At 39.3% G+C, this 12885-nt stretch overlaps 2 long non-coding RNA genes across 4 annotated transcripts in view; one reads left to right on the top strand and one right to left on the bottom strand.

Moving 5' to 3' along the window:
- The window catches only part of ADAMTS9-AS2 (ADAMTS9 antisense RNA 2), a 326599-nt gene that overhangs the window by 104127 nt on the left and 209587 nt on the right, over positions 1-12885 (bottom strand). The window lies entirely within an intron of this gene.
- The window catches only part of LOC105377124 (uncharacterized), a 99923-nt gene that overhangs the window by 68907 nt on the left and 18131 nt on the right, over positions 1-12885 (top strand). For 2 of the 3 annotated variants that reach the window (XR_007095946.1, XR_001740437.2), the window contains exon 3: positions 12695-12820. The exons of the other annotated variant lie outside the window; for it this stretch is intronic. This is a non-coding gene — a long non-coding RNA (uncharacterized LOC105377124). The remainder of the gene's footprint in view (positions 1-12694; positions 12821-12885) is intronic. 3 annotated transcript variants of the gene reach the window in all.

The following is a 12885-nucleotide window of genomic DNA, read 5'->3' as shown; positions in this document are numbered from 1 at the left end:
GCAGAGAGAGGAAGAAACTGGAAGATGGAGGACTTCCCTGAGAGCTCTGAGCTTTCATCCTCAGGACCCCCATGGGAGTTTCTTATGGATTTCTGGTAGAGAAAAGTGCTCCAGACAAAAGTGACAGAGAGCACTAAGCTTAAAGTACTAGGGGAAGGAGTAAGGAAAGGAGTAGAAGATTCATTAATTCATTCCATAATGAGGAATGAATTCATTAATTCATTCTATATTGGAATGAATTTATATATATATATGAGATATATATATCCCCTATAAAGTAGGGGAACCTACTTTGTAACCACATGTCTGCCCGTCTGTTAGTTCTCTACATGATACTGGAGGCTATACCAGGAAGTATGATAAATGGTCTTGCTCTCAAGTTGCTTGCAGTCAAGTTAGACAGGTGACACACACACAAACACACACACACACACACTCTCTCTCTCTCTCTCTCAGGCATCCAGAGATAAGCATTCAAAGAGAATGTATGCTTAAGGACCAAAATAGCAACACTGAGAGTTACTGTGAGTTCAGAGGAAAAACTTCTGTAGATAGCACAGGCTGAGAAAGGCCTCCCAAAAGCAGGGGGTCTTTAAAGAATGGAGCAGAACGTGGAGAGTAGAAGTAGTTCAGGCTGGAGAAACACATCAGAAGCAACAGCTGCACATGTAACCTGTATCCCCCTCACTGCAACCTTGGATTGGACCAATCACAGCTTCTAATTCCAGTTCTCAACCCAGTGTCCCGAATGGATACTAAAGGGTCTGTGAATTCATAGACAGGCAAGCGTTTTGTGAATTCACATGTGTATTTTTTCTGGGGAGAGTATTTCTAGTTTTCATCAGATCCTCCATAGAGCGACTCAAAATCACTTAGGAGTTTTTGCGAGTTTATTCCAATTTATGTCTTTATTATCACAAGCATCCATTTTGTTGTTTCTTTACATCTCACTTTTTTTTCATTACAAGGAGAATCCAGTTTTCACAAACCTGAAGGGAAATAAAATTTCTCACAGTGATTAGATTAGTGCCCAAGGCCACTTAGTGAAACCAGGCCTCCCTGGCAAGGTCAAGCTCTAACGCTCATCCATGCTCATAACCAGGGATTCTCTGCTTAGTCAAGTTTCCCACGGAGAGAATCAACATACGTCCTGACTCAGTCTCACCTCCCCTGTTAGGGCTTCTTATATTCTCAGCTCGGTGAAACTCCACTCCAAGTATTTTGTCTTGTCACTGACCGTGACTTGAATGTTAATTTTTTGCCTTTGACAACTGCCTTTGTTAAACATCATGCTCTACTCAGCATAGCCCATCTTTTGGAACCTGAAGAAAGTAAGCATGCTTTAAATACTTTCAGCCCAGCCCATGTCTTTAGCATGATATTTCATTACAGTGGCAACACACAAACCGTACGTTCAAAAATGGCATCTCTATTTTAAAATCAGTATTTATACGAACCTGCTTGCAAATCCACTGCTTATACATGATTTTTAAATGGATTACTCTTCTTTTTCTATTTATTATTCAAAAGTAGGGAGAAGATGATAACCAAGCCTTATGTTTTCATTTCCTAATTTCATTCAACTCATGGCCAATCTTGTTTCCTATTAGCACCTCCCACGTACTGTCCAAACCCAGATTATTTTGAAGCAAATGTTACGTATCATATAATTTGCCCTTAACTGTTTCAGCATTATACAAGATTTTAAGTAGACTTTGTTATTAATAGTATGAGCCACTTGCCAGGTCATGGAAAAGTCTTGTGACAGTGGCATGTGAAAGAGTTTGTGTAAAGGGGGCCCTACTTATTTCCCTAAAACATTTCTGTTTGGTAATTTCTATGGGTTAAAAATCTCTTTGCTAATAACGTCTGCTATACTTTTAAGAATCACTGGTGCTGTAGATTACAGTTTTCGTCCAGTCCATTCAGTGCAATTAAGTACGTAAAGTCAGTTCTGCTATAAGACTTGTTTTGAAATCATGAATTTGTTCCAACGGTATTGATATATTAGGGAACAATTTGAACATAACTGGATTTCACGTTTGCTTATACACAATTTCATCCCCTAGAAACACTAGATGAATGCAGAAAACTGTACCCAGCTGAACTGCACCTGATAGGAATACACAAAATGCATACACCTCCACCATCTGTCATCTATCTCAGTCCACCACGTTGTCATGAGCCACACCATGCACATCCGGTGCTGCAACTTTCTTTCTGATTCTACATAACCCCCTCCCACCACTTCACAATAGCTCAAAAGCAGCAACCCTTTCCACTTTGACTTCCACAGGCAGATTCCAAGTCTTTGACAAGGAAAAGTGCAATATTTATTGTATCTATGCATGTCTTAACCATTTAACATGGGTTAAACTGTGCTACCATTTTTTGTTGTTGTTGTTAATTCCTATTTGTTTTGTTATTTATTTATTTATTTATTTATTTATCCGTCTCACTCTGTCGTCCAGGCTGGAGTGCAGTGGCGCGATCTTGGCTCACTGCAAGCTCCGCCTCCCGGGTTCACGCCATTCTCCTGCCTCATCCTCCCGAGTAGCTGGGACTATAGGCTCCTGCAACCACGCCCGACTAATTTTTTGTATTTTTTTTCAGTAGAGACAGGTTTTCACCGTGTTAGCCAGGACGGTCTCGATCTCCTGACTTCGTGATCTGCCCACCTCGGCCTCCCGAAGCGCTGGGATTACAGGCGTGAGCCACCGCACCCGGCCTGTTTTGTTTTTTGATGTGTCATTGACAAGTTTTTGAGTTTTGTGCCCTCAAACCTAGGGTCTCTCAACCTCAGCAATGCTGATATTTTCGGCTGGATAATTCTTTGCTGGAGGAGCGGGGTGGGGCTGTCCTGTGCATTGTAGGATGTTTAGCAACCACCCTGGCCGGCATCTATCCACTAGATGCTAGTAGCCCTGATTCCTCTACTCCCCAGTGTAGCACCCCAAAGTGATTATAGACATTGCCAAATATAGCCTGAGGAGAGAGAGAAAGTCATGGAGGATTGTGAGTGGTTGAGAACCACTGCCATACCCCATCTCTCATGATACCTGTGGTGCTTTGCCTAGCATGATGATTTTTACAAATGCATATATCTTGTTATAGCAGAGTTAATTATACATATTATGTGAGTGCCTCTGCATGAGTCTTCATATTAATATTATCTACAGTGTGCTATCAGATTCCACGCACTTTGCATTGAGCTCAAAATGTAAATCCCTGAATTAAGGGACTCATTGACCTCCAACAACATCTTTACTTTCAAAGTACATAGACCTTGGACCATATAAAAACTTATAACAAAAATAATATTAGTAAGAATAGCTATCATTTATTGGGTCCTTCCTAAGAGCCAAGCACTATGCTGCAAGCATCTATATTCATTGTTGCACTTAACCTTTACAAGAGTCCATTCTGGAAGCCACTATCTGTCACCCCCACTCCTTACCAGGAGAGAATTCTCAAAAGGAAAACTGTGTCCCTGAAGAGTGGAGTGACTTGCCTGAGGTCAGCCATCTAGCATGAGAACAAGAGGCATCAAGGTAGAGTGTCTCTACTTGTGAAGTCAACATTGTCATGCCTCTGGAGCCTCCTTACTTAAGGATATCAACAACTATTTACTGAACGCCTACTTCTTTTATCAAAGTAGTGACTGTAACACTAATAATACAGCTCATAGCCAAAAAGCCAAAATGCTCAACCAAAGGGGCTGAGCTCAGTAAAAATTATCTCACATTATTACACTGAAATCGTATGCTAACACTAAAAATATGGTTGTAGAAAAAAAGAACTAATTATATGGAAATATGTTCATGCTTTATTTATCCAACAGCCTGTGTATCTATTTTTACAAAGAAAAATACTAGAAGGTTTTATCGCAAATCAGGAAGCACTATTATCTCAGCATGCTAGGATTACTAATGACTTTCTACCTCTTCATTTTGCTTAACCATATTTTTGAAATGTTTAGCCATGCATATGTATTACTTTTATATATACAAAGACACGTGTTTTTAAAGAGAGAATGAAAGCTCAAGATAGCACAAGAGATAATAAAAGAAGAACTAGACATTTAATGAGTTCAAGTTGGATTACATTCTAGAATACAGAAAGAACTTGCAGATGTGATTACAAAACCACTGTCAGCAATCTTAGAGAAATCAGAGACTGGGAGCAAGGCCAGGGAATTGGAGACAGGAATATGTTATTCCAGTTTTCAAACATGAGAAAAATGTGGATTCTAGAAACTATAAGGCAGTGTATCTAGCATTCATAATCTTGTTATTATATACATTTTATGAACATTTAGGAAAATGAGTTCAGCCAGAGATGGATGGGAGCGTGCAGAGGTTCAAGTCATCCTGGGATAACTTTATTTCCTCTTTTAGTAGTTTATTTTTGATAGATCAATAAAATATTCCAGACAGCATGCACTTGAATTCCAGCAAGAGCATTTGATAAACAGATATGTGCTTTTCCTTTTGGAAAGCATGGGCTAGATCATAATTTGATGAGTTGGATTCACAGCTAACTGAATTATTAATAATTACTACCAATGACTGCAAACTGCCTGAGCCAGGTACTGCACTAAGCCTTTTGCATACACCACCTTGCCAGATGGGTGCCATTGTTATTCCTACCTTTGTAGATGGATAAATGGAGGCTTGAAGAGACTGAGTCATATTCTTGAAGACCCAAAGCATGTAAATAAAAGAGTTAGGATTCATGCATTTAACTACACTACCCTTTTTGCCTTTCTAATAAATAAATAGGGATTGAACTGAGGGCTCTAATTGAAGACCACAGATCTTCATCCCATGGAATATGTTGATTAATGCCTTGGAAGAGAATGTAGAACTGATATTTGTCAGATTGGCACATGACATACAGCTAGGAGATGATCTGTCCATCTCTTGAATTCCACTCCATTTCCTTTGATTAAAGGAATGGACTTCCCAACTGGAGGGGCTGGGTCAGAGTGCTGGAAGTCGGCCTGGTCAGGGCAGGGGTAGAAAACAAACTCCAATCTTTTTCTTCCAAAAATATAATCTCTAAGGTCACCGTGAGGTTTGGCCTTTTCAGTACTTTCCATGGACATTTTGCCTGAATAAGAAAGAGGCCTTTGGCCCATTTATTTCACTAGTTCTTTCAGCTGCAAACAAATCTTTGGCCAAAGGAAAAAAATCTTTCTGGCTCTAAAAATAAAGGATTTCTCTCTTTTTAAAACGTTCTCCCAAAATTATTTGTTATGGAAGGTGGAAGGAATAAAAGAGGAAAAGAGAGAGAAAAGAAGAGGAGGGGGTTAAAAAAAAAAAAAAAACAAGTCAGGGAGAGAATGAGGAAAAGGAAAAAAAGTCAAAGGAAGAAAGAAAGGAGAGAGAAGGAATGAGAAAAAGAAACTTCTTCCTTGTGTAGTATAATCAAATTCCTCTTTAAGGCAGCAGGGCAAAATTAAAGGGGTTGCAGTTTCCCCAGCTGTTTGGTCTGGGATGCAGTATAAACAAGTCTGCCCCTCATCTGGCCCCCAGGAGGCTGGAACCTCAGCAGAGCCTGAACCCCAGGCTGCCAAACCACCATGAATTCTCTGGAGGAGTCCCCTGCTTGCTGAATCAGCAGGAGCAACCAGGACAACTTGACTGTTTCCCATTTTAATTCTTCTGAGTGCCAATAGCATAGTATGCAGGTGAAGGGTGATGTCCTAGAACAATCAAGGTCAGCTCCGATTTGGAAATTGGAACACTGCTCTCAGATCCTTCCTGACTCTGCAGAGCTTGAGTTTGCAGCAAGATTATTCTTAGCTGGTGTTAGAAATGTGCACAATGAGGATTTGGCCAGGCTTATAATTCAGGACGTGTGCTCTATTGGACTTAACTTTATTTTCTTCTTTGTCAATAATACATCCTGGCATATTTGCATCAATGGAATGCTCTACAGTTATTTTTAAACAATGATAGAGACTATAGAGCACTTACTTGGGATGAAAAGATGCCTGCAATATATTGGTTTCCGGAGCACACGTGTAATATGACACAGTTAACATCAGTCATCTCTGGTTGGGAAAATTGTAGGTGGTTTTTAAATTTTATGTTTTTCTGTATTGTTTGCACTTTCTTTTTCTTTTTTTTACTAATCATAGCTAATGTGTATAGAGGGCTTTCTGTGTGTTGGGTGTCATGCCAAGTATTTCATGTGAATCATGTCATTGGATCCTTGCAAGAGACATATGAGTTAGGTATTATTATCGTACTCTTTTACTGCTGAGGCAACATACTTAAGTCCCTTGCTCAAAGTTATGCAGACTGAAAATGCCAGAAGGTAAGACTCAAACCCAAAACCCACACCAAAGCCACCATATGAGGATTTTTTTCCCAAAAAACAATAAATGACTTAAAGGTAAGTGTATCCTCATAATTGTTTAAACCAGTTTTCAAACAAAATGCAGCTATTTAAAATGAGCTGGTTGACTCATAGTTAATGATATGCAAAATGTTCCTGATCCTTGATTATGTGGAAAAGTAGGCCACAGGGATCATTCTGTTGTATGTGTCTGTGTGCCTGTGTATGCCTCTAAACATAAAAGTATGAATTCTAATATGTTAAGAACTACCCTTTCAATGTTGGAATAAAGATAATTTTAGACTCTTATGTTTTATAGTGTTTGTGAAATTTCTACAATAGCGAGTGCTACATTTAGAGTAAGGAAACATAAAGGACAGAAGGTAGTCCACCTGCCTTTCTGACACCCCAGCGTAGCTACTAAGACCCCACCTTTCAAGAGAGCTTCTTGAATAATAGCTTGCCTTTTCCTTTTCTGTCTCCTGGGACCTGCCACTCCATGGGCTCTAGCCTTCTTTGGCAAGAACTTGGGCAGGTGCCTTAGAGACAAGGAACAGAATCTATGACATGCACGGAGTTGGCAGAGCCCTGATAGATAAGCCTGCCTCCAAAGTTTCACATCTCCCTTTTGTTTGTCTGCACTTCGTGGTGGTTCACAGAGGCCAAGGCCTGGCTTGTCGAATAGGGCTTGTTAGAGATAAAGACTCTTGAATCCCAGGGCTTAGGATGGAGGGTGTGGCCATTGGACAACTGGAAATTTAAAAATCATGTCATAATTTCTGCATAGGCTTCCATGAATAGCAACTGAATAATTTCTCTAACATCTGAAGGAGAGGCCATGTATCAGGGAAGGGGATTTAATGTGAACCAAGTGACCTGCACTTACATAGGCTGTGCCCTTTGGTGAAAATGCATTCATTCATTTGAGAAATATTTATTGAATGCCTACTATATGTAGAATACTGTTCCAGGTGCTTGGGAGGCAGGAGGCAACAAAACTAAGTCACTGGGATACCTATGTTATATAGCCCTTCTACCATCTGTCTCCTTAAAGGACACCTACTCACGCTTTGAGACCCAGAATTTTAGATCTAACCTGGAGACTTCCATGATTGCCTGAAGGAAAAGGGTTAGGCACACTTTTCTTAGATTCCATGGTTTTGTTTGGCACTATATATATATATATATATATATATATGTGTGTGTGTGTGTGTATATATATATATATATGTATATATATATGTATATGTATATATATGTATATATATATGTATATATATATATATGTGTATATATATATATCACCTTTGTTCTTAGTAATATAACCATTTGTTTATGTGTCTTTTTCTCCAAGACCATGGGCTTGACACATGGCTTGAAATCCAGTTTTCAACACTCAACTAGCTCTGTAACACTGGGTCAGTTATTTAACTTCCATGAGACCCAATTTTTTCATCTGTATTATAGAGATATTAATATCTACCTCACAAGTATGTTGCGAGATTTACAAGACAAATGAAAACCTGTTCATACAGAAACAGTAATATTTTAAACAGTGAATATTTAAAGCACCTTATTCCTAAGAATACCAAATGAAAGCCAAATGTCTTTCATCTAATGAAGGGACCATTGAACTGTGCTATATCCATTCTACAGATACTACTAAACAATAAAAAAATTGACACATTCAACAACATGGATGAACATCAATATATTATGTTAAGTCTACATACAGTGGGATTCCATTTATGTGACATTCCTACAAAGGTAAAACATAGGAACAGAAGAGAGACGAATGGTTGTTTATGTGGCTGACTAATAATGAGCAAAAAGGAATTTTTTGAGATGATGGAACTTTTCCTTATCTTAATTATGATGGTAGTTACACAACTGTATGCATTTTTCCTTACTCATAGAACTGTACATTAAAGAACTGTGTTGGATATGTTGGGTGGATGAATAGAAGGAAGAAAGCAAGGAAGAAAAGATGTGCAACTTGAAACTTCAGGGGATTTAATGTCTCTGAACCTTTTACCAATAGGAAATGAAAACCAATGAATAGATTCTCCAACCATATACATGACCTCTCAGAAGACATGGTCCCACAAGAACAATTGATCTCACTTGATACCAAGAGTCAGCTAACTCAGTGATGCACCCTCCTGTTTGATCTTGTTCCTTCCTTGCACATTCAATTTTTTACTCACTTCTGCTTCTTGGCATGGTATTCCCTAATAAAATAGCACAGAAGTATTTGCCCCATGCTTTGCTTTGCAAAGAACTTAGAAAAAGGCCCTCTGCATGGCTATGTAACTGGGTTCTTGCCAGTAGAAATGGGGGCAGAAACTATATGTGTGGTTTTGGATTCTGGGCCTTCAACCTGTAGACATACTCTCCTTCATACTTCCTCTCCCCCTTCCTGTGAGCTGTAACCAACTTCCTCTCCCTCTTCCTGTGAGCTGGGTCATAGGACCCAGACTTAAACATGCAGACAAACCCAGCCACTTAGGAGATGGCGGAATAACAGTATGGAGGGAACTCTGGCTCCTGGAGGATCTTGTGGAAAAGAGACCCTCCCAACTTGGATGACACTTCATCTCAGGACTCTACATAAGAAATAAATATCCATATTATTTAAGCCAGTGTTTTTAGGGGTCTCTTTATTCTAGCAGCATAATTTTACCTAAACTGAAACATGTGATCTTATACTTTATCATTGAAATTGCAACAATTTTAGGGATGAAAGGGGTTATATTCATAATGCTGGTAAAGAAAAGATAAATACGGTAGACATCCTAATTACCCTAATGCAATCTTTACACATTACATGAATGTACAAAATATCACATGTATCCCCCAAATATGTACACCTATTAGGTACAAAAAAAATGTAAATGTTAAAAAGAAATAATGCTGAGACAATAGAAGTAAATTAGTCTCCCTATCTAAAAGCAACCTCAAACTTCTAAGAAGATATTTTACCTGGTTTTGTACTTATTACCAGAATTGGGAGGAAGGATGGAGAGTAACACTAACATTAATAGCAGCTAACCAAGTGGGGTTGTTGGCCAGAAAGTTACTAGTGTTTGTATACAGAGGGTTTATAGGAATTTCCATTCCCAGGAGATACGCATGTGGCCATTGGTAGCCCTGAAGATCCATGTACGTTGGAATCCTAGATAAGCCTAAAAGGATTTCTAACCTGTCTGGCAAAATGCTAAGAGTAAGAGGAACCAAGGATACCTTCATTTAGATTTGGGTGGAGAGGAACCTGTAAAGTAGATCTTGAGACAACATTCACAGGTAGACAGATATGAGGCAGTCCATGGCCCAGTATCACACCTTGGAGTTGAAGTCCTACAGCCCATTTCAGACCATCTTTGAGACGTGGTGGCCCCAGAGTGTTGCATTAGGGGCCAATTGACAAAGTGCTGCATTGAGCTTGAAAGACAGGTGTGTTCCTACAGCTAGAAATTGACTAAATGAAAATGGCAGAAAATCTAGAAAACCCTAGTGCCCCATTGGTAACTGCAGAGATGGCAGTTTGGTGAACCTCAGAGCTCAGTTCTACACCAGTTTCTCCTCTTTCCTTCCTTTCTCCCTAGATGGTCGCACACATGTCCATCAGAAACATACATTACTAACTTAATGAAACAAGTTTTCTCTTTAAAGATGCTAAGCATGCCACCAGAAAAATCAAGCCATTAGATAAACATAGAAAAATAGTAATAGTTAAGAATACATTTTTTAAAATTTTCACAGCTCTGTGCTTGTGAAATTATTTCCATTACTTAAAAATAGTGGAATGGCTTTTGAATCTTCTTTATGAGGACTAAACACTTATCCACACAAGTTTCCTTCCATTGCAAACCCTGCTGATGAGAAAGTTAGGATTATCGTTAAACCCACATGCTCAATTTGACCTTAAATCTATTAATAGTATTTTTGTTCTGTTTTCCACTCTCTTTCCTACTTCTACCCCATCTCATCACTACATGATGCAATGTAGTCTGAGATAGGCCCATATCAAGCAAGTTAAATTTTAGATAGACTAGTAGCTACAGAAAAGGCTATCTATAGGGCCACATTATTAAAGTTACTAAGCAGTTAGTTGGAGAGAGGAAATGTTAGCATTCAGATGCAAGAAATTTTAAAATCATACTTTGCCAAATAAAACTGTTTCCTTGGAGCTAAATAAATATTCTCCCAAGGACAGACCTGAGGACTCAGACAGCTGCATCTATTTATGGTTTCCCCTGTGTTTCCCTCTCTCCTCCAAATCCAATCAGCTGTACAGAAAGCAATGAGGGTTCCTTTATTAAGCCTCCCTATTCCCAGCAAGGGACAGAAGTAGTGAAACAGAGAGCCAGCTGCCATTGAAATGTTCCAGCCATCTGCTTCTTCCTTATTTTTCCCCTTTTCTGTACACATTTAAATGTTCTTCCTTGTTTATCTATTTGTAGGGAGCAGATGGAATCATCATCATCACCACCATATTACATTTACTGAACACCTACCATGTCCTAAGTACCATGTTAGTAACTTCCTATAAATTATCTCATGTAATCCTCACAAAATTAATAATGTATTATTGCCCCATTTTACTGATGGTGAAACTGAGGCTTAGGAACTTTAAGAGACTTGACAAAGGCTACACAATTATAAGTGGGATCTTCTAACCTTAAGCCTCTCTCTTTTGAAAGAAATTAGGGCTACAGTGATAAATCTTCACAAAAATTATAAAGTAGGTAAAAGTATTTTTAGCACTCTTTCCATACCCTCTTTTCAAGCCATGTCAACACTCTACTGCCCTCTACCACCTTTCCCCAAACTGCCAAGGATCCAGCAGTTCCAAAAGTGTGCTTTCTTAGTGGTGGTTGCATTAGAGTATGAGTTTCTTAAAAAACAAAGTTGAAAGATCCAAATAAATAACCTCTAAAGGCTGAGATTCAGTCCATGCCAACAGGTGACAGGGAGGGTCTTTGTAGGTTGCTGGACCTCCCCAAGGCTTCTTTGGTGACTCCCGGTAGGTAGCTGCTATTCTCAAAATTTTAACAACCCTGCACCCTTAGCAATGTCAAGTTTACACATAAGATTTCTGAAAATAGGCTCCACATCAAACTTTCCAGTTCATCAAAACCAGAACAACAATGAACATCCCTTAAGGCCACTGCTATGATTCCACAGTATTTTGAAGGGAGTGGCAAAGGCAGTTTTTTTTCAGTAGGGTAGAAAAATTCAGATCCCTGACTTTGTTATGATTCAGTGAACAAGGTGGTTGTTTTCTAGCAAATAAAAATGTATTCTTTGCAAACTCTTCTTCCTCGGGTCCCTAGGACATGCCCTCAATCTGCTGTTGAAAATCTAAAGCATTCCAGTTGGCAATAGACTTTTCTCTTGGTGGACTACTGTGAGTTGAGTTTGGACAACGATTGTTCTGTTTCCAGAAAGTCACTGGGGAGTGGGGAAGAGGGGACTTGGAAACTCAGCCAGGTGTTAGACACCTCCTCAGGGGGTCCTTTTCTGCCAGGACCCGAAATCCCAGCCCTGAAACAGACCCTGCTGACTTTCCCTAAAGTTTTGACTTTATTAAAGAGCCAGAGGCAAGGGATTTTTTTTTTTTTTTTCCATGCACAGTCCTTCAGCTCTGGAATTCTGGATCTGACCTCCGGGTTTGAGAGAACTTGAATACATCAACCTCTAAGACACGATGTAGCAATAAAGTGCTCAGTTGTTTTTCTTTCCACAGCCTTTTCTCATTTCCAGGGAGAGGTTGAATTAGAGGGGCATTTGGGATGTTACTGGGCTTGCAAGCAGGTTGTGGAAAACAATATCACCCTAGGGGTTTTTCTATGATAGGTAAATTTTTCTCCTTCACTAAATGAATAATTAATGTTGTTTTAATATGGAACTGGCCCTTAATGCAGACAATTTATATGCATGAGTGCCCCCTTTTTCTCTCAAACTAGCTGGGTTTTAAATTATTTTTTTGAAACCCACTAGAAGGACGGTATAAAATATGTAAACATTTGGGTGGTCTGTTGATATTCACAGACCACATTTGAAATTAACTAATTTGCCTTCTATGAGAAACAGACTTTAGTGCTGTTCAAAAAGCTGGAGTTTTGAAATTAAGTAGCTCAAGTTGCCTTTGCCTATTCTCCAACTTGCTTAGGTTGTTGTTTTAATGGCAGCATTTACTAATGAAGGGAAGGAGGTTGCCAGAACTCAGAACCATGACAGGCCTCCTATTTAAAGAGAATTTCAACCACCAGGAGTGAATGGGTAATTAACCATATATTTGACTCCAGGTTTTTAAAACATAGTTATTCTCTCTCTCTCTCTCTAGAGTAATGGTTCACCTATCTCTTGCCCTGGGAGGCTGACACCTGTAGACTGCATCTCACGCTCTCCTTGGCCAGCTAGCTTCAAGTTGAGTTCAGCTAGAAAACAACCCTGACAAGGAAATGAGAAGGTGGGAGAGACAAGTTGGAGGATTTCTGCCTTCCTTCCTCAAATTCTGAAACAATACTTCCTCCC

Source organism: Homo sapiens, chromosome 3 (assembly GCF_000001405.40).
Source record: "Homo sapiens chromosome 3, GRCh38.p14 Primary Assembly".
NCBI lineage: Eukaryota > Metazoa > Chordata > Mammalia > Primates > Hominidae > Homo > Homo sapiens.
This window is presented reverse-complemented; position numbering and strand designations above follow the sequence as displayed.